Source organism: Homo sapiens, chromosome 12 (assembly GCF_000001405.40).
Source record: "Homo sapiens chromosome 12, GRCh38.p14 Primary Assembly".
Lineage (NCBI taxonomy): Eukaryota > Metazoa > Chordata > Mammalia > Primates > Hominidae > Homo > Homo sapiens.
Window position 1 is genome coordinate 94,815,633 of NC_000012.12, and position 27,384 is coordinate 94,843,016.

Below are 27,384 nucleotides of genomic sequence, written 5' to 3' on the forward strand. Positions count from 1 at the left end.
TGGCCCCTGCTCACCATGATCAATAACCTAGTCCTGGCCAGGTGAGGTGACTCACGCCTATTATTACAGCACTTTGAGAGGCTGAGGCAAGCAGATCACTTGAGGTCAAGAGTTTGAGACCAACCTGGCCAACATGGTGAAACCCTGTCTCTATTAAAAATACAAAAATTATCCAGGTGAGGTGGTGCACACCTGTAATCCCAGCTACTCGGGAGGCAGAGACATGAGAATCACTTGAACCCAGGAGGTGAAAGTTGCAGTGAGCCGAGATCACGTCACTGCACTCCAGCTTGGGCAACAGAGCGAGACTCTGTCTCAAAAAGAAAACAAACAAACAAACAAACAAGAATAACCCAGTCCTCAGTGTCAAATGAGTTCCATCACAGCCAAGCACACTGCCAGCCTTTCTCTTTCCCTCACGAGAGAACTCTCCTGCGCTCAGCTTTCCTCTCTTCATTTGCATTACAAAAAGCACACCTGACCCTGTTGAAAAGGGCATTTAAGGAGATCATCAAAGGGGCCTGTGGTGCTCCTTTCACAGCACATGATCTCTCTCCCTGATAAGCCCTCTCCCCAGCCTTAAGAAACCCACATTCGGGAGCAACATTACGCTACCAGCTGCAGCTGAGGGCTCTGGGTGAAATCGAGCCAGGGCTGGGGAACAACTCAAAAGTCATCTGAGAGGTGTGACACCTCCCTGGCGTCCAGACCCACGGCAGGCAGCCTACAGACTTTTTCTCTTTGACTTTTTAAAGTAAGATTTATGAAACCACTTTTCCTATCACGGCATAAGAAATGATAACTGCTTGAAGGATTATACCTCTTTGCCATTTGATGACATCTCTGTAAGTACAGGGAACTATGGGCTCTGTCATCTTTGCATCCCTAAAATCAAATTCAGAAACTGGCCCCCAAAAAGGCTGTTGAATAAATACATAAGTAAATTCCATTTTTATACTATCTACTGATGTCTAAAAATTCCAAATTAGAAGTTAAAAATCCTATGATAGATATCTAAAGGAGAACAAAGTAATCCAAAATTAATTATATATTACATGCTACCTAGGATTTTATGAAACTGAGCTCAATCTCAAAATTAAAGAACTGTACTATAGGCTGGGAGCAGTGGCTCACGCCTATAACCCCAGCACTTTGGGAGGCCAAGGCAGGCAAATCACTTGAGGCCAGGAGTTCAAGACCAGCCTGGCCAACATAGTGAAAACCCATCTCTGCTAAAAATACAAAGATTAGCCGGGTGTGGTGGCTGGGGCCTGGAACCCCACCTACTTAGGAGGCTGAGGCACAAGAATTGCTTGAACCTGGGAGGCGGGCCATGAGCCTAGATCGCACCACTGCACTCCAGCTTGGATCACAGAGCGAGACTGTCTCAAAAAAAAAAAAAAAAAAAAAAAAAAAAGAAAGAACTTACTGTAAAATCTGCTTTGCTTTGTTACTCACTCTTATGAATACAGAGCCAATCACTGGTTCTAGCCTCACTATTATGCTATATTAAGGGAGGAGACCACCCCTCATATTGTCTTACACCCAATTTCTGCCTCCAAATAAAGAAGTAAAAACTAAAAGGCAGAAATGAAATCCACAGGCAGACAGCCCAGCGCTGAGCCCTGGGCCTGGTAGTTAAAGATCGACCCCTAACCTAAGCGGTTATGTCATCTATAGATTCCAGACATTATATGGAAAAGCATTGTGAAAATCCCTGTCCTGTTCCGTTCTGATTACCAGTGCATGCAGCCCCCAGTCACGTACTCCCAGCTTGCTCAATCGATCACGATCCTCTCACGCGGACCCCCTTAGAGTTGTAAGCCCTTAAAAGGGACAGGAATTGCTCACTTGGGGAGCTCAGTTGTTGGAGACGTGAGTCTTGCCGACGCTCCCAGCCGAATAAAGCCCTTCCTTAACTCGGTGTCTGAGGGGTTTTGTCTGCAGCTCGTCCTGCTACAATATTACTGTATATATGTAAAATATGCTATATTACTATATTTTCTCATTTATAAAGTGGGAGTAAAAATAACAGCTACCTCATTGCATTTTTGTGAGGATTAAATTAGTTAACACATGTATAATAGTTATGGGACATAGTGACCACTTAAGAAATGTTAGCTAGTATTATTGTTGTTGTTACCAGGCACTGTTCTGGCTAACATTCTATTAGACCAAGTTAAATATTAGTTCATTTAGTTAATCTGCCCAGAAAAGTATTAATAGAAGCAAGTTGCCCATATAACCTGTCCCCTTGACAACAAAATTTGCCTTCTGAAAGCCATTAATGGATTCTCAAGGTACAAGAATTGCCTATGAATTGTTTACTTTTTAGAATATGATTTCCCCTTGAGGCAGAATATATATTTAACAGGTCCTAAATGTATACCAGAAAGAACTGAATCGCCAGCTTCACTAACAGGTTTCTCTAAAAAGAAAATCAGACAGCAATTTTACCTTCTGTTCAGGCCAGATGATGTTCCTAATCCTGCAAGGTCTGGGGTACTTTCATCTGATAAGAGCCCATGAGCTTCTGAGAGCTTCAAATGACTACTACTTAGGTTAAAAATAAGCACCGAGAAACAAAAACTGAGAAACAAAAGCAGAAGTATTTCTAAAATTGCTCTCTTCGCACTGTCTCGCTGCGGGTACTTTCCTGTCTCTCAGATCACTGACCTTCAGTCCAGCAATTTCCAGTGTCCTGCAGGCTGCTGATCCCAAGATGCTCAGCCACACAAAGGTGTTGCGGCCAAGTAAGGTTGGGGAACCCATACTATACTCCCTTTTGCCACAATACCTTTTTAACCAGACTCCTTTTGTGATAGTAGGTAGCTAGTTAGACCTGAGCAGGGCAGAAGAGGGCTCCCCTGCCCCACTCCAGGAGTGTCAGGCAACCACTGAGGTCAGGCAGTTGTTAACTGTCTCTCTAAAATAATAATTGGGCCGGGCACGGTGGCTCACACCTGTAATCCCAGCACTTTGGGAGGCTGAGGCAGGCGGATCTCTTGAGGTCTGGAGTTTGAGACCAGCTTGGCCAACACAGTGAAACCCCATCTCTAATAAAAATACAAAAATTGGCAGGGCATGGTTGCGGGCACCTGTAATCCCAGCTTCCCCGGGAGCCTGAGGCAGGAGAATCGCTTGAACCTGGGAGGCGGAGGTTGCAGTGAGCCGAGATCGCACCACTGCACTCCAGCCTAGGCTACAGAGCGAGAATCTAAATAAAAGAATAAAATAAAATAAAATAATAATTGGTCACAGCCAGCACCAGAGAAAGGCAGTCTCCCAATAGATAGAAACACCTGAAGCTGGGAATCAGCAGTTTCCTGATAAGATCTCAGGAGTTGGGCCAGTGGGCTCAAGCAAAAAAGAGGCAAAATGGCAAAGTTTAACTGGTATATGACCTTCTAGGAACATTCAACTGGTAAGAGAAGAATGCCTCGAGTGAGCATGCGTACAACTCCAGTAAACATACCGTGCATGCATCACTCCTAAGTGCTGGCAGCCACTGCGGATGCGGAGAGCCCACCCAAGGGAAGAATCAGGAGACAAGGGACACAAGCTCCTGGAAATATGACAACATATAAAATCCCAAGTCAATGGGGAATCCATGCACTTGATCTCTCCAGTCACCCCCTTGGCCCTCTTCCAAGTTCACTTCCTTTCATTCCTGCTGTAAAGCTTTTGAATAAACTTTCATTCCTCTAAAACTTGCCTTGGTCTCTGTGTCAAATATTTTCTTCTGAAGAGGGAAGAATTGAGGTTGCTGCAGACCTGTATGGACTCACCACTGCTAACACCTTTTTCAAGGAATATCTACTAGAATCTAGGTGTTGGAAATGCTGAAATAGTCTAAACTAACCAATTATTTCCACCTTAAAATGACTGTAGGCTCATTCACCTGGCCTGGCAAAGTCAGCACTTACTTAAAAGCAGATGGGAGAGAATGTTGACCCTATACATACCCACAGTCCCTGATCAACATACATTTTCATGAAGAGGTATATCTTGGATCAAGTCAAAAAGAAACTATCCCCGGATCCATCTGAGGTGTGTCCCATACTCAGGGAACACACCAAAAAATTCAGGAATGGCTCACAGGGAAGCATGATTTCAGAAGATCGGGAGCATAAGAAAAAGGAAGATGATGACACTATAAGAGAAATCCTATCAACAAAAGGAATATAATTCTCCTCCTGTTTTTTTTAAGTCAAGGAGAAGAATGCTGGTGCATTACAATCTAATTGGAACATGTCCAAAGTGATGGGAGAAATCCACTGACACCAGATTAAAGGAGTCCTGAGCAGAGAGGAAGCTGGATGGTGGCAGGGTCCTCGAAAAACTATCTCCAAAGACTCCAATCTCTAGAGCATTATCTTAGTTCTATGACTGGAAATTTTTTCCAGAATCCTCAATATCTATCTGTAATGTAAGGCTCCTTTTTGCTAGCACCAGAAGCTTACATAAAATTAGGCACTTGGGGAAGCATCTTGACCCCCTCATCAGGCCACCCAACCATAACTGCCCCAATGGCCAACAGGTGGGGATTATGGGAACTATAATTCAAGATAAGATTTGGGTGGGGACACAGTCGAACCATATCAATGGAGGAATACATGGATATACATGCAGAAATCTGGGTGGCTTTAATTCCTTCCATGAGGTCTTACAATCCTACCATCACTATAAACTAGCCAAAATTAAAATATATCTGGGCAGACAGGAGACCCAGATGGGTAGGAACTAAATATACAAACATTTCTCTCAGTAGAGAGAAAAACCAAGAAAAGGGAAGAAATAAGATTCAAAATGATCCCAAGAGGCACATCCTGGGGAAAACCCAACAAGATAAATATAGTAAGTCCTCAAAAGATGCTAGTTACTAGTATTATCATTAATGTTAAATAGTAATATTAACTGTAAATCCCTGCATTTATATTGAAGATAGCAATTACATAAGAAAAGATATTAGAGAACTGGCTTAGCCAAAATCCACAGGAGAAAATAAAATTTGCGTTTTGGCTAATCACAAGCCCAACACGTGTCAGCACTGCAATGTAGCTGATAAGTAACTAACACCACTGGGCAGCCCTCACCCAGAGCAAAGGAGCTAACAGGCTCACAAAACTCTCCCAGCCAGGCCATATCTGATGTGTAGGTTTGATTTAGGCACAAAAGATATAGACAATCGGAATTGCATCTAGCAAGAAGTGACTATCACAGCTGTAAGTCTGGAATCCAAATTAAACACAAAATAGTTGATAGAACAGGTGGCAACCATGGAAGTGATGGTTTAAGGTACTCTTCGATATTTGAAGAGCTGCCAATAAAGAATGGCACTAGTTGTTTTGTGTCACCAACGGGTGAAATTTACAGGGGAGGCTAAGTTAGGCTCCATACATAAAATGATTTTCCAATACTTAAAATTATCCAAGAATTGATCCCACGGGCTTGAAAAGTTTTAAGCTTTCTTTTTGAAAGTGCCTGGGAGCCAGAAGATTATCAACCAACAAGAGCAATCTAAGGATTCCTCTGGTGGGTGAAGGGATGCACTCTGAAGTTTCAAGGCCCCTTTCAGCATCAAGAATCTGCAATTCTATGGTTCTGACTATAGCTGAGCTTCATCAGATTAGTAGACAGAGCCCAGTGCTACCCTCTCCTCCCACTCATTTTTGCATGGTGAATGGTAAATATTCTTGGGGCGAGGCGCAGTGGCTCACGCCTGTAATCCCAGCACTTTGGGAGGCCGAGGCAGGCGAATCACAAGGTCAGGAGATCGAAACCATCCTGGCCAACATGGTGAAACCTTGTCTCTAAAAAAAAATACAAAAATTAGCTGGGTGTGGTGGCATGTGCCTGTAATCCCAGCTACTTGGGAGGCTGAGGCAGGAGAATTGCTTGAACCAGGGAGTCGGAGGTTGCAGTGAGCTGAGATCGCACCACTGCACTCCAGCCTGGCGACAGAGCAAGACTCCATCTCAAAATAAATAAATAAATAAATTCTTGGTAGACTCTGGAAAAAATGATCAAATAATACTTGTGTCTCCAATATTAACTAATTTGTGTTAAATACCCTTTTATTCTACTTAAACTCTTGTATTTCTTATCTGCAAAAGGACCTAAATGAGAAGATAAAGGTAAATTAACTCTGAAAACCTTTAAAGCAATGTAAGGGATATTTTTATAATTATTGATGTTTATCAATAAGTAGAGAAGCACTCAACTAATTTTTTAAAAAAGAAAAATTTGCATATAAAGCAGTCATTTTTCTTATCTGACTTCAATTGTAAATTGCTGAGGAAGGTCTAATTTCACCTTCTATCTCAAGATTTGGTAGCCAAAGTTACCAAAGGCCTGCATAGTTACCAAAGGCCTGAACACACAATTCCAGGAAGGTGCCCAACACAGTGTATTAGCAAGAGAACTTGGAGGCTGGGCTTTGCCTTCTGTCCTCAAACAGGAATAAATGTAGATCCAGGGAGAATGAAAGAGTAAAAATTGGGACATCTAAACTAAGAATAAACCAAAGAGACAGGAATATTTGGGTGCTAAGAGGCAAAGGCCAAACACAAACTATAAAAGAAAAAATTGATTAACTGGACTTCAGAATTAAAAGCTCTCTTCAAAAGTCACCATTAAGAAAATTAATTAATTACTCTACATATTTACCAGTGAAAGAAAAGGAAAATGAAATGCAAGCCACAGATGGGTGAAAATATTTATAAATGATATCTGATAAGGCACTTATATCCAGAATATATAAAGAACTCTCACAACTCAATAATAAGACAAGGAACTCAATTTAAAAATAGGCCAGGCCGGGTGTGGTGGCTCACGCCTGTAATCCCTGAACTTTGAGAGGCCAAGGCAGGCAGATCACCTGAGGTCAGGAGTTCAAGACCAGCCTGATCAACATAGTGAAACTCCGTTTCTACTAAAAATACACAAATTAGCCAAGCATGGTAGAGCATGCCTGTAATCCCAGCTACTTGGGAGTCTGGGGCAGGAGAATCGCTTGAACCTAGGAGGCAGAGGTTGCAGTGAGCCAAGACTGTGCCACTGCACTCCCACCTAGGTGACAGAGCAAGACTTCACCTTAAAAATAAATAAATAAATAAATAAAAATAAAAATAGGCCAAAAATTGAATGGACATTTCACCAAAGAAAATATATAAACAGCTGAGTGGGTTCCAAGATGGCCGAATAGGAACAGCTCCAGTCTACAGCTCTCAGCGTAAGTGACCCAGAAGACAGATGATTTCTGCACTTCCATCTGAGGTACCGGGTTCATTTCACTGGGGCTTGTCAGACAGTGGGTGCAGCCCAGGGAGTGTTAGGTGAAGCAGGGCGGGGCATCGCTTCACCCGGGAAACACAAAGGGTCGGGGAATTCCCTTTCCTAGCCAAGGGAAGCCGTGACAGATAGCACCTGGAAAATCGGGACACTCCCACCCTAATACTGCGCTTTTCCAATGGTCTTAGCAAACAGCACACCAGGAGATTTTATCCCACGCCTGGCTCGGAGGGTCCCAAGCCCACGGAGCCTTGCTCACTGCCAGCACAGCAGTCTAAGATCGAACTGCAAGGTAGCAGCAAGGCTAGGGGAGGGGCATCTGCCATTGCTTAAGCCTGAGTAGGTAAACAAAGCGGCCCAGAAACTCGAACTGGGTGGAGCCCACTGCAGCTCAAGGAGGCCTGCCTGCCACTGTAGACACCACCTCTGGGGGCAGGGCATAGCTGAACAAAAAGCAGCAGAAACTTCTGCAGACTTACACGTCCCTGTCTGACAGCATTGAAGAGAGTAGTGGTTCTCCCAGCACGGAGTTTGAGATGTGAGAACGGACAGACTGCCTCCTCAAGTGGGTCCCTGACCTCCAAGTAGCCTAACTGGGAGACACCTTCCAGTAGGGGGCCGACTGACACCTCATACAGCCAGGTGCCCCTCTGAGACAAAGCTTCCAGAGGAAGGAATATTTGCTGTTCTGTAATATTTGCTGTTCTGCAGCCTCCGCTGGTGATACCCAGGCAAACAGGGTTGGAGTGGACCTCCAGCAAACTCCAACAGACCTGCAGCTGAGGGTCCTCACTGTTAGAAAGAAAACTAACAAACAGAAAGGACATCCACACCAAAACCCCATCTGTACGTCACCATCATCAAAGACCAAAGGTAGATAAAACCACAAAGATGGGGAGAAACCAGAGCAGAAAAGCTGAAAATTCTAAAAATCAGAGCGCCTCTTCTCCACCAAAGGAACGCAGCTCCTCGCCAGCAATGGAACAAAGCTGGACGGAGAATGACTTTGACAAGCTGACAGAAGTAGGCTTCAGACGATTGGTAATAACAAACTTCTCTGAGCTAAAGGAGGATGTTCAAACCCATCACAAAGAAACTAAAAACTTTGAAAAAAGATTAGACGAATGGCTAACTAGAATAAATGCGTAGATAAAAGCTTAAATGACCTGATGGAGCTGAAAACCATGGCACAAGAACTATGTGATGCATGCACAAGCTTCAGTAGCCGATTCAATCAACTGGAAGAAAGGGTATTAGTGACTGAAGATCAAATGAATGAAATGAAGTGAGAAGAGAAGTTTAGAGAAAAAAGAGTAAAAAGAAACAAACAAAGCCTCCAAGAAATATGGGACTATGTGAAAAGACCAAATCTATGTCTGATTGGTGTACCTGAAAGTGACAGGGAGAATGGAACCCAAGTTGGAAAATACTCCTCAGGACATTATCCAGGAGAACTTCCCCAACCTAGCAAGGCAGGCCAACATTCAAATTCAGGAAATACAGAGAACACCACAGAGATACTCCTCGAGAAGAGCAGCTCCAAGACACATAATTGTCAGATTCACCAAAGTTGAAAATGAAGGAAAAAATGTTAAGGGCAGCCAGAGAGAAATGTCAGGTTACCCACAAAGGGAAGCCCATCAGACTAACAGCAGATCTCTCAGCAGAAACTCTACAAGCCAGAAGAGAGTGGGGGTCAATATTCAACATTCTTAAAGAAAAGAATTTTCAACCCAAAATTTCATATCCAGCCAAACTAAGCTTCATAAGTGAAGGAGAAATAAAATACTTTACAGACAAGCAAATGCTGAGAGATTTTGTCACCACCAGGCCTGCCCTACAAGAGCTCCTGAAGAAAGCACTAAACATGGAAAGGAACAGCCAGTACCAGACACTGCAAAAACATGCCAAATTTTAAAGACTATCGAGGCTAGGAAGAAACTGCATCAAGTAACGAGCAAAATAACCAGCTAACATCATAATGACAGGATCAAATTCACACATAACAATATTAACCTTAAATGTAAATGGGCTAAATGCTCCAATTAAAAGACACAGACAGGCAAACTGGATAAAGAGTCAAGACCCATCAGTGTGCTGTATTCAGGAAACCCATCTCATGTGCAGAGACACATATAGGCTCAAAATAAGGGATGGAGGAAGATCTACCAAGCAAATGGAAAACAAAAAAAAGCAGGGGCTGCAATCCTAGTCTCTGATAAAACAGACTTTAAACCAACAAAGATCAAAAGAGACAAAGAAGGCCATTACATAATGGTAAAGGGATCAATTCAACAAGAAGAGCTAACTATCCTAAATATATATGCACCCAATACAGGAGCACCCAGATTCATAAAGCAAGTCCCTAGAGACCTACAAAGAGACTTAGACTCCCACACAATAATAATGGGAGACTTTAACACCCCACTGTCAATGTTAGACAGATCCACGAGACAGAAAGTTAACAAGGATATCCAGGACTTGAACTCAGCTCTGCACAAAGCGGACCTAATAGACATCTACAGAACTCTCCACCCCAAATCAACAGAATATACATTCTTCTTAGCACCACATCACACTTATTCCAAAATTGACCACATAGTTAGAAGTAAAGCACTCCTCAGCAAATGTAAAAGCATAGAAATTATAACAAACTGTCTCTCAGACCACAGTGCAATCAAACTACAACTCAGGATTAAGAAACTCACTCAAAACCACTCAACTACATGGAAACTGGACAACCTGCTCCTGAATGACTACTGGGTACATAACGAAATGAAGGCAGAAATAAAGATGTTCTTTGAAACCAATGAGAACAAAGACACAACATACCAGAATCTCTGGGACACATTTAAAGCAGTGTGTAGAGGGAAATTTATAGCACTAAATGCCCACAAGAGAAAGCAGGAAAGATCTAAAATGGGTACCCTAACATCACAATTAAAAGAACTAGAGAAGCAAGAGCAAACATATTCAAAAGCTAGCAGAAGGCAAGAAATAACTAAGATCAGAGCAGAACTGAAGGAGATAGAGACACAAAAAACCCTTCAAAAAAAAATCAATGACTCCAGGAGCTGGTTTTTGGAAAAGATCAACAAAATTGATAAACCGCTAGCAAGACTAATAAAGAAGAAAGGAGAGAAGAATCAAATAGATGCAATAAAAAATGATAAAGGGGATCTCACCACCGATCCCACAGAAATACAAACTACCATCAGAGAATACTATAAACACCTCTATGCAAATAAACTAGAAAATCTAGAAGAAATGGATAAATTCCTGCACCCACACACCCTCTCAAGACTAAACCAGGAAGAAGTTGAATCTCTGAATAGACCAATAACAGGCTCTGAAATTGAAGCAATAATTAATAGCCTACCAACCAAAAAATGTCCAGGACCAGACGGATTCACAGCCGAATTCTACCACAGGTACAAAGAGGAGCTGGTACCATTCCTTCTGAAACTATTCTAATCAATAGAAAAAGAGGGAATCCTCCCTAACTCATTTTATGAGGCCAGCATCATCCTGACACCAAAGCCTGGCAGAGACACAACAAAAAAAGAGAATTTTAGACCAATATCCCTGATGAACATCGATGCAAAAATCCTCAATAAAATACTGGCAAACGGAATCCAGCAGCACATCAAAAAGCTTATCCACCATGATCAAGTGGGCTTCATCCCTGGGATGCAAGGCTGGTTCAACATACGCAAATCAACAAATGTAATCCATCATATAAACAGAACCAAAGACAAAAACCACATGATTATCTCAATAGATGCAGAAAAGGCCTTTGACAAAATTCAACAGCCCTTCATGCTAAAAACTCTCAATAAACTAGGTATTGATGGGACGTATCTCAAAATAACAAGAGCTATTTATGACAAACCCACAGGCAATATCATATGGAATGGGCAAAAACTGGAAGTATTCCCTTTGAAAACTGCCACAACACAGGGATGCCCTTTCTCACCACTCCTATTCAACATAGTGTTGGAAGTTCTGGCCACGGCAATCAGGCAGGAGAAAGAAATAAAGGTTATTCAATTAGGAAAAGAGGAAGTCAAATTGTCCCTGTTTGCAGATGACATGATTGTATATTTAGAAAACTCCATCGTCTCAATCCAAAATCTTCTTAAGTTGATAAGCAACTTCAGCAAAGTCTCAGGACACAAAATCAATGTGCAAAAATAAGCATTCCTATACACCAATAACAGACAGAGAGCCAAATCATGAGTGAACTCCCATTCACAATTGCTTCAAAGAGAATAAAATACCTAGGAATCCAACTTACAAGGGATGTGAAGGACCTCTTCAAGGAGAACTACAAACCACTGCTCAACAAAATAAAAGAGGACACAAACAAATGGAAGAACATTCCATGCTCATGGACAGGAAGAATCAATATTGTGAAAATGGCCATACTGCCCAAGGTAATTTATAGATTCAATGCCATCCCCATCAAGCTACCAATGACTTTCTTCACAGAATTGGAAAAAAACTACTTTAAAGTTCATATGGAACCAAAAAAGAGCCCACATTGCCAAGACAATCCTAAGCCAAAAGAACAAAGCTGGAGGCATCACACTACTATACTACTTCAAACTATACTACAAGGCTACAGTAACCAAAGGCTACAGTAACCAAAACAGCATGATACTGGTACCAAAACAGAGAGATAGACCAATGGAACAGAACGGAGTCCTCAGAAATAATACCACACATCTACAACCATCTGATCTTTGACAAACCTGACAAAAACAAGAAATGGGGAAAGGATTCCCGTTTAATAAATGGTGCTGGGAAAACTGGCTAGCCATATGTAGAAAGCTGAAACTGGATCCCTTCCTTACACCTTATACAAAAATTAATGCAAGATGGATTAAAGACTTAAATGTTAGACCTAAAACCATAAAAACCCTAGAAGAAAACCTAGGCATTACCATTCAGGACATAGGCATAGGCAAGGACTTCATGACTAAAACACCAAAAGCAATGGCAACAAAAGACAAAATTGACAAACGGGATCTAATTAAACTAAAGAACTTCTGCACAGCAAAAGAAACTACCATCAGAGTGAACAGGCAACCTACAGAATGGGAGAAAATTTGTACAACCTACCCATCTGACAAAGGGCTAATATCCAGAATCTACAAATAACTTAAACAAATTTACAAGAAAAAAATCAAACAACCCCAACAAAAAGTGGGCAAAGGACAAGAACAGACACTTCTCAAAAGAAGACATTTATGCAGCCAACAGACACGTGAAAAAATGCTCATCATCACTGGTCATCAGAGAAATGCAAATCAAAACCACAATGAGATACCAGCTCACACCAGTTAGAATGGCGAAGTCATTCTAACTGTTCATATGGACCAAAAAAGTCAGGAAACAACAGGTGCTGGAGAGGATGTGGAGAAATAGGAACACTTTTACACTGTTGGTGGGACTGTAAACTAGTTCAACCACTGTGGAAGACAGTGTGGCGATTCCTCAAGGATCTAGAACTAGAAATACCATTTGACCCAGCCATCGCATTACTGGGTATATACGCAAAGGATTATAAATCATGCTGCTATAAATATGCAAAGGATTATAAATCATGCTGCTATAAAGACACATGCACACATATGTTTACTGTGGCACTATTCACAATAGCAAAGACCTGGAACCAACCCAAATGTCCATCAATGATAGACTGGATTAAGAAAATGTGGCACATATACACCATGGAATACTATGCAGCCATAAAAAAGGATGAGTTCATGCCCTTTGTAGTGACATGGATGAAGCTTGAAACCATCATTCTGAGCAAACAATCGCAAGGACAGAAAACCAAACACCGCATGTTCTCACTCACAGGTGGGAACTGAACAATGAGAACACTTGGACACAGGGTGGGGAACATCACACACCAGGGCCTGTCATGGGGTGGCGGGAGGAGGGAGGGATAGCATTAAGAGATAGACCTAATGTAAATGATGAGTTAATGGGTGCAGCACACCAACATGGCACCTGTATACATATGTAACAAACCTGCACATTGTCCACATGTACCCTAGAACTTAAAGTATAATAAAATATATATATAAACAGCTAATAAGCACACGCAAAAATGCTCAATATCATTAGTCATTACAGAAATGCAAATTAAAACCACAATGAGATACTACTACACACCCACCAGAATGGCTATAGTCAAAACGACAGACAATATCAAGTGTAGAATGGGATGTGGAGCAACTGGAACCCCCTCATACCCCAGAGATGGGAAGGTTAAATGGTACAGTCACCGTGGAAGGCACTGTAACAGCTTTTCAAAAGGTTAAATATACATCTACCATATGTCCCAGGAATTGCAATTCTAGGTGTCTACCCAAGAGAAATAAAAACATTTGTCTACACAAAAACTTGCATACAAATGATTATAGCAGCATTATTCATAATAGCCAAAATGTAGAAACAACTCAAACGAACATCAACTGGTGAATGAGTTAACAAGATGTTGTATATCCATATAATGAGATACTCAGCAACAAAAAGGAACTACCAATGTACATTACAACAGTGAAAAGGGTCAAAAACATGCTAAGGGAGAAAAAGCCCGTCACAAAACCCTATATTAAATCATTCCACTTATATGAAATTTCTAGCAAAAGCAAATGTATGAAGATAGAAAGTGGATTAGTGGTTGCCCAGGACTGGGGGTGGGAGAAGAGACTAACTGCAAGTGGGCACAAGGCCACCTTGTGCTGTAATGGGCATGTTCTATAAACATGGATTACGGAGATGATTGCACAACTCTACAAATTCACTAAAAATCAATGTATTTACAATGGATGGACTTTAGATATGTAAATTATACCTCAGTAAAGTTATGGGCTCAGTTCAGAGGGCAGATCTTCCAGTCATATTCATGATGAGTCACAGGCAATCCAAAGATAGAAACAAAATGGAGAGAAAGAATACATTTCCTTCTTCTTCAATTTTATTTATCAAAAGCACTTTCTTCAGGTATCTCAAAATTTAAAGCTATAAGCCAGGCACGATGGTGCACACCTGTAGTCCCAGCTACTCTGGAGGCCAAGGCAGGAAAAACGCTTGAGCCCAGGAGTTTGAGATCAGCCTGGGAAACATAGCAAGACTCTATCTCTCTTTATTATTTTTTTAATTAAAGCTAAAATACCCAGATCTCTTTTTTTAATTATTATTAATTTCTGAGACAGAGTGTTGCTCTGTCATCCAGGCTGGAATGCAGTGGCACAATCTCAGCTCACTGCAACCTCCGACTCCTGGGTTCAAGCAATTCTCCTGCCTCAGCCTCCGAAGTAGTTGGGATTACAGGCGCCTGCCACCATGCCCAGCTAATTTTTGCATTTTTAGTAGAGACAGGGTTTCATCATGTTGGCCAGGCTGGTCTCAAACTCCTGACCTGAAACGATCCACTCACCTTGGCCCAAAGTGCTGCAATTACAGGCATGAGCCACCATGCCCGGCCCCACATCTGTTAAAATATGATTTTGCAGGCAGTTTGCCTGGAGGTTAAGGGTTGGAACTGTGGACTCAATCTGTGTGTAAAACCCAGCACTCCTACTTACTAGCTGACTTTAGCATGTTACTTAGACTGAGTTTCAGTTTCTTGTTCTGATACAAAAAATTAATACATACTACAGAGTTGTTTTAAACTAGCACACTATCTATTAACAGCACATGGTAAATACTCAACAAATGCCGATGTTATTTTTTTATTATCAACACATCATCATTACCATCACTATGACTGTAGTTTCCTTGGGAGACTTGAAAACTTGACTGATATGTGTATGTTCCTAATGTACATTTAGTGCTTCATCACTGCTATATTCAATTTAATTGACTGCCCAAACATAACCATGTTCCCTTATAACCCTCATTCCTTATCTTAGGGACCTTATACTTTGAAATAAAATCCCTGGATCATTTCACTAACAGAACAAAAGCTGTGCTATTCCCTGGCTAAAGCAAGATATTTTCCAATTCAACCATAGGAAAAAAACATTTTTAAAAGGTGCAGTTTTTGTTTGTTTCTAGGATAGGAGAACTGGACAAAGAAAAAATGTCAGCATCTCCTCAGAGAAGCCTGGCAAACAGGGGAAATAACACTAAACAAAGAAAGCCATGTGCAGAGGACCTGGCACAGGAACACAATTGCCAGGCCTTGCACCCGAGAATCACCAACACCTGCAGAGTAAAGCAACGGGCCACGTACAGTGCTGACTGCTTCCTGGGTGACAGCTGAAACCCAGCCAAGTTCAAAAACCCCTCATTGTGGGTGTGTGTTTTTGCTTTGTAACATCTATATGAAAAGGGAAGGGAAACTGCATGGGGTAAACTTTCTATTTTGTAAGACAAGCGTCTTCTTGTTCTCTTTTTCTTTTTCTGGTCAGTGAGTGGAAGGACAGAACCCTGGAAAAATACCTGTGCACCAAGCAAGACAACCCCATCACTGATGTCAGGAAAAGCAGAGCAGTCACCTCTGGCTTGCCCAGCCCACCTCACTCGCCCACCAGCACACACTGCGACTAAAGAACCCCACTTTAGCTGACTGGAGCATTCTTCCAGCCACACACCTCAAAGATCATCTGGGAAGAGATACCACAACACGGCAGGGGGCCGGGTGCCTGTGCCAGGGAGGGACACATGCTCTTCACTCCCCACACTTGCTGGTGAGCCACAGAAGCCCTGTGACCTCAGCACACTCAAGGGAAATATGTCATGGGGCTTACCCTTCATGAGGACCGCTCTAACTTAGCATCCAAGAAAACCTCACAGCCCCTGTGGGGACTTCTCCTGGGCACCACCTAGCTCCTGCCTTAGTAAAGTGTGGAGAAAACCAACTTCCTCACAGAAATGTCTTTTAGAGCCAAATGTAAGTGTCCCTGAAATCAAGTAGACAATGATATTCCTATCATTCTGGGCCTGTCCTTGAAAGTTGTCTCTGTTGTTTTCTTTCCACTAGAAAGTCATAGACCCTGAGACCCAAAAAGGCCCACAGGGATCTAGAGAGGTGAAATAACTTACTAAAGGCCACAGAGGATGGAAGTGGCCAGGCCAAGACTAACACCCAGCTTTATCCACAAAATCTGGAAAATGCTATCAGGCTATCTTCGACCCAGAAAAGAAGCGCTCACAAGAAGAATATCAAGGGAGGCTAGTCCAGACTCTGCAGCTAGTGTCAAAGTTCAAATCCAGTTCTGTCCCTTACTAGGGCACGTAACCTGGGCAATTTCCTTAACTTCTGTTTTCTCTTCCATTAATAAGAGGATAATAACAGCATCAACATTACAGAGCACTCCAAGCATGAATGTATCAATACCGAGAGTTTCTATATGACTGATCATCCTCCTCCTCCTCATCATCATCCTAAAACAGACAGGGGAATGAGAGTAAAGAAGGGATGATAGGAAAAAAAGGTAGAAAGTGAGTGTATGGTCACTAAATAAGTAGAGCATAATTTAACTTCAAAAAATTCAAAGACATGTCTAGGGTCATATCCACAGGGGTTAGTGAGAACATAAAAGCAAAACGTATTATAAACCATTAGGTACAGTATGGCTCCAACTATGTTAAATATTCATACCCACATGTATATACATACTTCCAGAAGAAAGTGAAATAAAATGCATGAAACATTAATTCTCTGGGCACTGGGATTAAGGTTGATCTTTATTGTCTTCTTTATTACTTTTATTTCCCAAATTTTCCACAACAGACATATATTGCTTTAGAAATCAAAATAAATGTGGGTTTTAAAGGCTGTTTTTATTTTTTTATTTTTATTTTTATTTTTTTGAGACAGGGTTTCACTGTTACCCAGGCTGGAATGCAGTTGTGCGATCACAGCTCACCGCAATCTCCACCTCCCAGGCTCAGAAGCAATCCTCCTGCTCCAGAGCCCCCACCACCCATAGCTGGAACCACAAGTGCATGCCACCACACCCAGCTAATTTTTGTATTTTTGAAGAGATGAGGTTTCATCATGTTGCCCAGGCGGGCCTTAAACCCCTGGACCCAGAGCCATCTGCCTGCCTCCGTCTCCCGAAGTGCTCACAGGCAGAGCCGCAGCGCCCAGCCCAAGGCTGTTTTTTAAAAGAAGAAACTTGATACCAGGCCAGGCCTCAAATGGCAAAAGGGCTATTAGGTAGAATCCCAAGAGGCAGGGGCTGTGTTTACTCAGACAGCCAAGGGGGAAGTGCCTGTGTCTGGGAAGAGAACAAGACTTAGGGGGAAGGGGGAAGCTTAACCACGAAGCTTATGCCTGAGAGCATCAGGCCAGGGAAGGACTCTGTAAAATAGGAATAAATTCCAAAAGAAAATAAAACAGAAGTGACGACATCAGCAGTCCCTAGTTAAAAGAAGAAGAAGAAGAAAGAGAATCCTGGAGCAAGCCTCTGCGCAGATAATTTTTTTTCCCTGGCTGGAACAGAAGATCAGTCACCAAAACTAAAAAGCAAAAGATCCAAGTGGCTGAAAAAAGGAATTATGGGCTCCCACTGGGGACAAGACTTGCCTGGAAGCCCATCTGAGGGCTTGCTGCCCTATCCTTCACATCTGAGATTATCCCCTGATCCCAGCCAAGACCAGGGATTTCCTGCTTTTTGGCATCCAGATGCGAGAAATAGATCTGCTGACTCTGAGATCACTGACTGACACTAGCCAGGGCCCAGAGAGAACGCCGCCGTGGGGTCTAAGATCGAGTTCACCTGGCATCTTTCTCGGCACGTATCTTCCTGGCTTGTCCTCAGTCTCCACTCCTCTCAGTTTGAGTTCCCACCTCACCTCTTTTGCAGAGATTCCTTGTAGCTCATATGAAGGAGTGGACAGAAGACACAGAACAGATAGCAGAGAGAAGTACTGGGGGCCTCCCAGCTCTTGTTCAGGGCCCCACTTTCCTCTGACAAGCATGTTAAGGTTTATCCAGATTATCCCTCCAGTTCCCCTATTTCACAGATGAGGGAAATGAGACAGAAAAAGGGGGACTGTATGTCTGTGCCCATCAAAGTCAGATGAAATGATACACTGTCTTAAGACCATCTGATTCGGGACCTTGCCTGAGGTCACAAATCTTTGTAGTGACAGAGCCAGGACAAGCACATAACTATCCTAATGGCTGCTCCTTCCTTCAGCACTGTGGCTGCCTACGAGCTGGACTGCAGTCTCTACTGCTCACTAGAAAAGTTCCAGTCCCCCAGCAGGCACAGGGGCTCCAGCAGCCGCGGCGTGTCCTTGTCCTCCTTCGGGGGGCTACAGCGGCATCCTGTCTGGGTCCAACGGATTGCTTGCGGGCAACGAGAAGCTCACCATGCATAACCTCAACAACTGCCTGGCCTCCTACCTGGACAAGGTGCACGCCCTGGAGGCAGCCAACAGCAAGCTGGAGGTGAAGCTCCGTGACTAGTACCAGAAGCAGGGGCACAGGCCCTCCCACAACTACAGCCACTACTACAGGACCATCGAGGACCTGCGGGACAAGATTCTTGGTGCCACCATTGAGAACGCCAGGATTGTCCTGCAGATCAACAATGCTCAACTGGCTGCAGATGACTTCTGAACCAAGTTTGGTTTGAGTGTTTGGGTGCTGGATGAGGTGACCCTGGCCAGGACTGATCTGGAGGCACAGATCAAAGGCCTGAAGGAAGAGCTGGCCTACCTGAAGAAGAAGCATGAGGAGGAAATCAATGCCCTGAGGGGCCAAGTGGGAGACCAGGTCCATGTGAGGGTGGATTCAGCTCGGACCTGCCAAGATCCTGAGTGACAGGCAAAGCCAATATGAGATCATGGCCAAGCAGAACTGGAAGGATGCTGAAGCCTGGTTCACCAGCTGGACTGAGGAACTGAACCAGGAGGTCACTGGCCACATAGAGCAGCTCCAGATAAGCAGGTCTGAGGTCACTGACCTGCAGTGCACCCTCCAGGGTCTTGAGATTGAGCTGCACTCGCAGCTCAGCGTGAAAGCTCCCTTAGAAGGCACACTGGCAGAAACAGAGGCATGCTTTGGAGCCCAGCTGGTGCAGATCCAGGCACTGATCAGCAGTATTGAAGCCCAGCTGGGCGATGTGCGAGCTGATGGTGAGTGGCAGAATCAGGAGTACCAGCGGCTCCTGGAGCAGGAGATCGCCACCTATCGCAGCCTGCTTGAGGGCCAGGAAGATCATTACAACAACCTGTCCACCTCCAAGGTCCTCTGAGGCTGCAGGCTCTGGGGCCTCTGCTCTCCTCAAAGCACGTCTCCTGGGTAGGAGGATGGGAAGGAAGAGACCCTTACCCCTGGTTCTTCCCCTGACCTGCCAGCAAAATTTTATGGCTCAAGGGAAGAAAAAAAAAAAAAAACAAGAGCAAAGAAAAGTTCCAGTCTAATCCCCAGGCTCCTCTTGGGCAAATGTCAACACATAAAATGATCCAGAAGGCCAAGTCAAATTACGGTGTAATGGACAGGGGTGCCTCTTCACATTGCCTAAGGGACAACTATAACAGAAAACATCTCAGTCAAAAAGGTGACCCTGGGCCAGGCGCGGTGGCTCACGCTTGTAATCCCAGCACTTTGGGAGGCCGAGGCGGGCGGATCACGAGGTCAGGAGATCGAGACCATCCCGGCTAAAACGGTGAAACCCCGTCTCTACTAAAAATACAAAAAATTAGCCGGGCGTAGTGGCGGGCGCCTGTAGTCCCAGCTACTTGGGAGGCTGAGGCAGGAGAATGGCATGAACCCAGGAGGCGGAGCTTGCAGTGAGCCGAGATCCCGCCACTGCACTCCAGCCTGGGCGACAGAGCGAGACTCCGTCTCAAAAAAAAAAAAAAAAAAGGTGACCCTGCAATGTGGATTGCCAGGACCCACAATGAGCCAGAGGGGTTGGCACCTTTTCAACACGGGCCTGCATTCCTGCAGGTCCAGATCCCAGAGTGTACTGTATCCAACGTGCCTGTGGCTAGCGTGTGTCTACAGACTCTGGAACCACACTCCTTGGCTTCCAACCCTGGCTCCAGCACATACTCTGTGACTTTTGGCCAGTACATTAACCTTTCTGTGTCTCCATTTCTCCTTCTGGAAGGTAAGCATTAAGTATCTCCTATCTTTAAAAGTTCCTAAGAAGTCTACATCCTAGGCCACCCTATATGTGCACACCCAGCAGCCCTTTCTGTCCCCTTTGAGCCCAATCTGAGGGAGGACAGGTCCCTCTCTCAGCCTCAGAAAGTGAATGATGATGGGATTCAACCTTTTCTTTGGTTTTCTCCTTCTCTTTGGCCAGTGACAAGTCAAAGGCAAGAATAACTCGGTTCTCACTAAACAGGGAGGTCAGCAGGGAAACTTTCCTTTCCCAATAAAAAGACATAGGTTTGGCCAGGTGCGGTGGTTCACACCTGTAATCCCAGCACTTTGGGAGGCTGAGGCAGGCGGATCACCTGAGGTCAGGAGTTCAAGACCAGACTGGCCAACGTGGTGAAACCCCGTCTCTACTAAAAATACAAAAATTAGCCGGGCATGGTGGCACATGCTTGTAATCCCAGCTACTCGGGAGGCTGAGGCAGAAGAATCGCTTGAACCTGGGAGGCAGAGGTTTCAGTGAGCCGAGATCATGCTACTGCACTCTAGCCTGGGCGACAAGAGCAAAACTCCATCTCAAAAAAAAAAAAAAAAAAAAAGACATAGGTTTATGCAAAGCGTATTAGGCCATTCGTGCACTGCTATAAAGGAATACCTGACACTGGGTAATTTATAAAGAGAAGAGTTTTAACTGGCTCACTGTTCTGCAGGCTGTACATGCATGGCACCAGCATCCTGAGCACAGCTTCCAGGGAGGCCTCAGGGAGCTTTTACTCATGGCAGAAGGCAAAATGGGAACAGGCATGTCACATGGCATGGCGAATGAAGGAGCAAGAGTGAGTTGGGGCAGAGGTGCCACAAACTTAAACAACCAGATCTCCTGAGAACTCACTCACTATCACTCACTATATCAAGGACAGCACCAAGACATGAGGGATCTGCCCCATGACCCAAACACCTCCCACCAGGCCCCACCTCCAACACTGGGGATTAGATTTCAACATGAGATTTGGGCGGGGACAAATATCCAAACCATATCACACAAAAGAAGCCTTTTGACCCTTCCACTGCCTTTAGTGCTGCTATAGCAGCCATCTGCCGCCATGGGGAAAGAGCCAGGAAGGCCAAGAGGATCTCAGCCCTGAGCACTAACACTGTCCTGGTCTCTGTGCCCAGGCCAGCCTCCACTTATTCCAAGGATGACTGTGAGGAATGTGGACCCCTGCTTGTTTACAGTACTGTTGGATAACTCTTCTTTTGCTTGTGGCCAAATGCCATCCTAATAGGTCAACTGTATAAGTTTATTCTCATTAAAAAAAAATAAAATTTAAAATCATGTTCTCCAAAAAGTTACTGAGTAAAAGTGATGTCGCAATATCAGTATGACTCATGGCATTGATTTTTGTTCGTTTGTTTTTTGTATTTTTCTGAGACAGAGTCTCACTCTGTCTCCCAGGCTGGAGTCAGTGGCGCAATCTCGGCTCACTGCAACCTCCTCCTCCCGGGTTCAAGCGATTCTCCTACCTCAACCTCCTGAATAGCTGGGACTACAGGTGTGCGCCACCATGTCTGGCTAATTTTTTTGTATTTTTAGTAGAAATGGGGTTTCACCATATTGACCAGGCTGGTCTCGAACTCCTGACCTCGTGATCCGCCCGCCTCGGCCTCCCAAAGTGCTGGGATTACAGGCATGAGCCACCATGCCTGGCCGGCATTGTTTTATACACACACACAGATACAGAAATATAGGGATGTGTGTGTATATACATTATATATACACACACACACACACACACACTATATATGGGTGTACATGTCACATATATTTCCTAGCTTTTTCCACTCAGGCGGCCTTGAAGCTGTGATGTCCCTACAGCAACAAGCACACTTAGTATCTGGATCTTGGTTTCTAAATACCATCCTCCAGATGACCTCCAAGAGACCAGTGTTCCTTGAAGAAATGGCTGGCTCAAGAACTGCAGCAAGGAAAATACAAGATGAACCTGGACATCTTAGAATGCCAGAAAGCAAAGGAGGTGCTTTTTTTAAAAAGGAAAGGGTGAGAAAAGGAAAAAAGAAGAAAGATGGGGCATGTCAAATGGACGTATAAGCCAAACTGAAGGAGTTCCCAATAGCCAAAGCTGGAACAAATTAGAGGGAAAAAAGGGGGGATAGTAGTATAAGATCATAGAATAAAACAAATATCTGTGAGCCTATACTGAAATAAATAAGTGACTAAGTAAATATAGCAAAAGGGACAGATCTTCCTTACAAAAGAATTCCAATTAATAATTATAGAAAGAATTAGGAAAATAGAAAATCACCTGTATTTCACTGGAGCAGAAATGTTTGCCCTAAAAAAAATTATGGCCTTCAGTCTTCCTGGGAATGATCAGCTGTTGCACTTTCGGTGACAGCAGGATTATGGACATTAATACAGAACTTTACAGTTTATAAATTTTTTTTTAAGAAAGAAAAGAAGAAATCATGATTAAACACCATAGTAATAACTGCTTTAACAAGATCCACTGATGAAGATAAAATTAATGTGTGAAACTTTATGGAGAAACATTATCTGCACAACCTTAAAATATCTCCTAGCTGAATACTAATACAAATATTAATTACTGTGGTGGTTTTAAAATATGTCCACAGACTCTTTGATACTCCTCCATGAGGTGGAACTTAATCCCCCCATGCCCTGAGTATGGGCTGGACTTGGTGATTCCTCTCTACTTAATCAATGATGGAAAGGGAAAGACAGTAACCTTACAGTAGTGAAACCTAGCAGACATGAGACATCACCAGTACCAAGCCATCTTGACATCATGTACTCCTTCAAAGGACGCAGTGAGAACAGCGTATCACCTGAATCGTATTTGTCCCCAAAGTCCATAACCTCAGTCTAATCCTGAGAAGACACTAGACAAACCCAAATGGAAGAACATTCTATAAAATGCCTGAACACGACTCTTCAAAAGTGTCAAGGTCATACGTCTCAAGCCTTTTAGTGTTGTTATAAAGCAACATCTGCATGCTTGGCTCATGGTTCTGCAGGCTATTCAAGAAGCATGGTGCCAGCATCTGCTTCTGGTGAGGGCCTCAGGCTGCTCCCACTCATGGCAGAAGGTGAAAGGGAACTGGTGTGTGCAGAGATCACATGGTGAGAGGAGAAGCAAGAGAGAGGAGAGGGGCCGGGCACGGTGGCTCATGTTTGTAATCCCAACAATTTGGGAGGCCAAAAGGGGAGAATCTCTTGAGCCCAGGTGTTCGAGACCAGCCTGGACAACATAGTGAAACGCCATCTCTACAAAAAATAGAAAAATTAACTGGGCAAGGTGATGCGTGCCTTAAGTCACAGCTACTCGGGGAGTTGAGGTGCGATGATCTCTTGAGCCCAGGAGGTTGAGGCTGCAGTGAGCCGTGATCACACCAGTCCACTTCAACCGGGGTGAAAGAACAAGACCTTATCACAAAAAAAGAGAGAGAAAGAGAGTACAGGTGCTAGGCTCTTTTTAGCAACCAGCTCTCATGGGAACTAACAGAGTGAAAACTCACTCATTACCACAAGGACAGCACCAAGCTATTCACTGGGGATCCACCCCCATGACCCAAACACCTCCCATTAGGCACCCACTTCCTACACTGGAAATCAGATTTCAACATGAGATTAGCAAGGGTCAAACATCCAAACTATAGCAGCCATATAAGACAAGGGAAGATGAAAGTATCATACATCGGAGGAGACTAAGGAGACATGACAACTAAATAAAATGTGGATTGGATCCTGGAACAGAAAATAACATTCGAGGAAAAACTGGGAAAATGTGAATAAAGTATGTAGTTAACAACTAAAGTTAACAGTGTTGTACCAAGGTAAATGTTTTCATTTTGATGAACATACCATGTTGTTTAAGATACTCATATTAGGCTAGGCGTGGTGGCTCATGCCTGTAATCCCAGCACTTTGGGAGGCCGAGGTGGGTGGATCTCCTGAGGTCAGGAGTTCGAGACCAGCCTGGCCAACATGATAAAACCCTGTCTCTACTAAAAATATAAAAATAAGCTGGGTGTGGTGGCACGCGCCTGTAATCCCAGGTACTCAGGAGGCTGAGGTAGGAGAATCGCTTGAACCCGGGAGGTGGAGGTTGCAGTGAGCTGAGATCGCGCCACTGCACTCTAGCGTGGGCGATAAGGTGAGACTCTGTCTCAAAAAAAAAAAAAAAAAAGTGTGAAAACTAAACCAAACAAAGCAATGCTCCAAGAAGATGCAGCACGTGTATCCTAAGGCTTCAGGTTCCCATAAAATCCCTGAGGTTGCCCAGACACCCCCAGTTTGGGATGCATCAGAGCCTCTCTCACTAATGAATACCATAGCCATGATGACCATGCATCCAGGAGGAACAGCATGTATCCTCTATTTTCACTGGAGGCTGTACCCCAAGGGTCTTTCCTAATTACCACTGCTGCGAGGACCTGGATGAAAAGTGATAAGCCCCCAAGCATGGCAAGGCTCTAGCCTGTTGCTTCTGGCTATGGTCCCATCACTCAGCACTTTGAAGACCCGCATAGAATGAGTTATTAACACACCCAAAGAACAAATTCTGAAAGTGCATCAATATTAATTCATTTACAGAGAGGTTTTGCTTTCTCCTCTCTCTTTCTTGATTAAATGCTTAGTGCTTCCTCAAGAGATATGCTGTCACGAAACTCTCAACAAGTCATGAATGAGAAGAAAAGATAAAATCTTCCCCATCACCTTAAAGGAAAGCATTTATTTAAAAGTTCTCATCAACCAGACGCAGTGGTTCATGCTTATAATCCCAGTGCTTTGGGAGGCCAGGAGTTCTAGACCAGCCTGGGCAACATAGCAAGAGCCCGTCTTTAAAAATAAATAAATAAAAAATTAGCTAGGTATGGTGGCATATGCCTGTGCTCCCAGCTATTCAGGAGGCTGAGGCAGGAGGGGAGCCTGGGGTGGGAGAATCCACTTGAGCCCAGGAGTTTTGGGCTGCAATGAACTATATGATTTTGAGACAAAGTGACATTCCGTCTCAAAAAATAAAGTTCTCATCACCTAAACGTATGCCTTTTAGTTCATATTTTATTTGTTTAATCTTTGGGTAAGACTCTTGTTGCTGTTTTCTTTCTTTTTAAGATGAAGTGATAGATTGCTTGCAAAAATGGCCCCAAATCCTCCATCCCACTCCCTTGTATCCACACCCTTTACTCAGTGTGATTATGTGGCTTCTTTCATCAAGGGAGACAGTTTGTTTACCAAACCTTGAAGCTGGGATGGCCATGTGGATTACTTTAGCCAACACAATGTGGCAGACAGAGTTGGTAATGTGCCAGTTCCTGAACGCAGGCCCACGAGGCTCTGCTCTCTTATGCTCCCTCTCAGAACCCTGCTTCACAGCCATGAGAACAAGTCAAGGCTAGCTGCTGGAGAACGAGAACACATGTGGTATAAAGATGAGCCAGCCCAGCCAAGAAGACAACTGCCCACATGGGCCCAGCCTACATTGCTTGCCTGCAGAACCATGGGCTAAATAGTTATGTCACCACATTTTAGGATAGTTTGTTATCCAGCAAAATCTAACTGATACAATTGAAGTGTGTGATTTTAGTGCTGTTAATTATTCTGATCTTAAAAGTATTACTAATTGGAGAAAGTCAGAAAATACAGAAAAGGAGAAAACCGCCCATAATTTATCACTAGAATAAAACCAACATTCTGGTGGTGTTTTTCCCCAGTCTTCAGTATATTAGTGTGACTGAATGAAAATGAAATCCACTTAGTTTTAATTCCGTATCTTTCTCCTCCCACTGAAAACATTCAATAGAGCTTTTCTTATGCCATTAGTGTCTGAAAACGTAATTTTTAATGGTTTAAATATTCTATTTATCATGGATGTACAATAATTTAAACGTGTGCATATGTTTCTGTAGTTTCTATAATTAAATAATGAAATTATTTATTCATTATTGTAAGTATTATTGTTCATTTGAGTACAGAAAGCTATGTTCAACTCTGTGCTTATTTCTTTAAAATAAGCTTCTAGAACTGAAATTCTTGATTCAACGAGTATAGACTGCTAGTCAAAGCCAGTCCCCCTACACACACACACACACACACACACACACATACACTTCTTTGCTGGCAGAGACACATTTTGTTCCATTGTTTACCCTGCGTTCTACCATGTGCTCAGAGTGAGGAGCCTCTCCCCAACAAGGAAGAGAAAGGAGAATCCTGATAGTCTAAGCTACTAGCTAAATCTAGCCCACCACCTGTTTTAGTATAGGCCATTTAATGCAATTCTGGCCAGTGAGACATGAGAGAGGTCTTTTGGGAGCTTTTGGAAAAAGCTTTTCTTTACAAATACCCATGCAAGAAGGAATGGTTCCTTTTCTCAACTCTAGAGATGAGTGTATAAAGATGCAATGCCCGGAACTGATGCAGCCATCCTGACCATGAGGACTTAAGTCTATGGGAACAAACTGATATACTCAGGATGGCGGAGAAGGAAAAGGAAACACTCATGTCCTTTGTGATGTTTTTGAGCTGCTGAATTTCCTGGAAACACTCCACCTCTGGACAGTGAGATGATAAACCTAAACTTCTTTCTGTGTAAACCATTTTTACCAGGTTTTCTGTTCCTTACAGCCTAAAGGACAGGGACTCTTTCAAGGCTTTCTCCACACATTACCAAACTGAGCGCATAGAGAGATTGTAGCAATGAACATTTTCTGCAGAACTACATGGGCTTAACATAAAATTTACAAAATAACTTGGAGAAAAATAATACATGTAAAATATTCAATGTTCTAATATCCACAAACCTGATATCTCCTTTGTTCAAAATTTTAAAAAATATCTCCTAGTAAATTCCATTATTTACTTAGTCCAGCAATGTGCTGTGAGTTTTTCTAAAGGTTTTACGCTTTTTTGCTGTTATTATAACTAGAAGCATTTTCTCTATTATATCTAACAGATTGTT

The 27,384-nt window shown here is 43.3% G+C and overlaps 1 non-coding gene and 1 pseudogene across 2 annotated transcripts, besides 8 other annotated features; both read left to right on the top strand.

Annotated features, from left to right (window-relative positions):
* Positions 179-818: an enhancer, noted in NCBI's record as "OCT4-NANOG-H3K27ac hESC enhancer chr12:95209587-95210226 (GRCh37/hg19 assembly coordinates)". NCBI's record gives its function as "activates a minimal SCP1, AML or CMV promoter by ChIP-STARR-seq in naive H9 embryonic stem cells {active_cell/tissue: H9 hESC(naive)}" and the evidence as "EXISTENCE:reporter gene assay evidence [ECO:0000049][PMID:30033119]".
* Positions 339-428: an enhancer, noted in NCBI's record as "active region_6798". NCBI's record gives its function as "activates an Ori minimal core promoter by ATAC-STARR-seq in GM12878 lymphoblastoid cells {active_cell/tissue: GM12878}" and the evidence as "EXISTENCE:reporter gene assay evidence [ECO:0000049][PMID:35858748]".
* Positions 2,409-2,928: an enhancer, noted in NCBI's record as "active region_6799". NCBI's record gives its function as "activates an Ori minimal core promoter by ATAC-STARR-seq in GM12878 lymphoblastoid cells {active_cell/tissue: GM12878}" and the evidence as "EXISTENCE:reporter gene assay evidence [ECO:0000049][PMID:35858748]".
* Positions 15,367-15,416: an enhancer, noted in NCBI's record as "active region_6800". NCBI's record gives its function as "activates an Ori minimal core promoter by ATAC-STARR-seq in GM12878 lymphoblastoid cells {active_cell/tissue: GM12878}" and the evidence as "EXISTENCE:reporter gene assay evidence [ECO:0000049][PMID:35858748]".
* Positions 15,567-15,776: an enhancer, noted in NCBI's record as "active region_6801". NCBI's record gives its function as "activates an Ori minimal core promoter by ATAC-STARR-seq in GM12878 lymphoblastoid cells {active_cell/tissue: GM12878}" and the evidence as "EXISTENCE:reporter gene assay evidence [ECO:0000049][PMID:35858748]".
* Positions 15,787-15,996: an enhancer, noted in NCBI's record as "active region_6802". NCBI's record gives its function as "activates an Ori minimal core promoter by ATAC-STARR-seq in GM12878 lymphoblastoid cells {active_cell/tissue: GM12878}" and the evidence as "EXISTENCE:reporter gene assay evidence [ECO:0000049][PMID:35858748]".
* Positions 18,167-18,668: an enhancer, noted in NCBI's record as "H3K4me1 hESC enhancer chr12:95227575-95228076 (GRCh37/hg19 assembly coordinates)". NCBI's record gives its function as "activates a minimal SCP1, AML or CMV promoter by ChIP-STARR-seq in naive H9 embryonic stem cells {active_cell/tissue: H9 hESC(naive)}" and the evidence as "EXISTENCE:reporter gene assay evidence [ECO:0000049][PMID:30033119]".
* Positions 18,669-19,168: an enhancer, noted in NCBI's record as "H3K4me1 hESC enhancer chr12:95228077-95228576 (GRCh37/hg19 assembly coordinates)". NCBI's record gives its function as "activates a minimal SCP1, AML or CMV promoter by ChIP-STARR-seq in naive H9 embryonic stem cells {active_cell/tissue: H9 hESC(naive)}" and the evidence as "EXISTENCE:reporter gene assay evidence [ECO:0000049][PMID:30033119]".
* On the top strand, positions 18,766-18,881 carry MIR492 (microRNA 492). The gene has a single exon (NR_030171.1). It is a non-coding gene; the product is annotated as a microRNA 492 (primary transcript).
* KRT19P2 (keratin 19 pseudogene 2) lies at positions 18,822-19,396 on the top strand (annotated as a pseudogene). The gene has a single exon (NR_036685.1). The product of NR_036685.1 is annotated as a keratin 19 pseudogene 2 (transcript).
* The last annotated feature ends 7,988 nt before the right edge of the window (positions 19,397-27,384 follow it).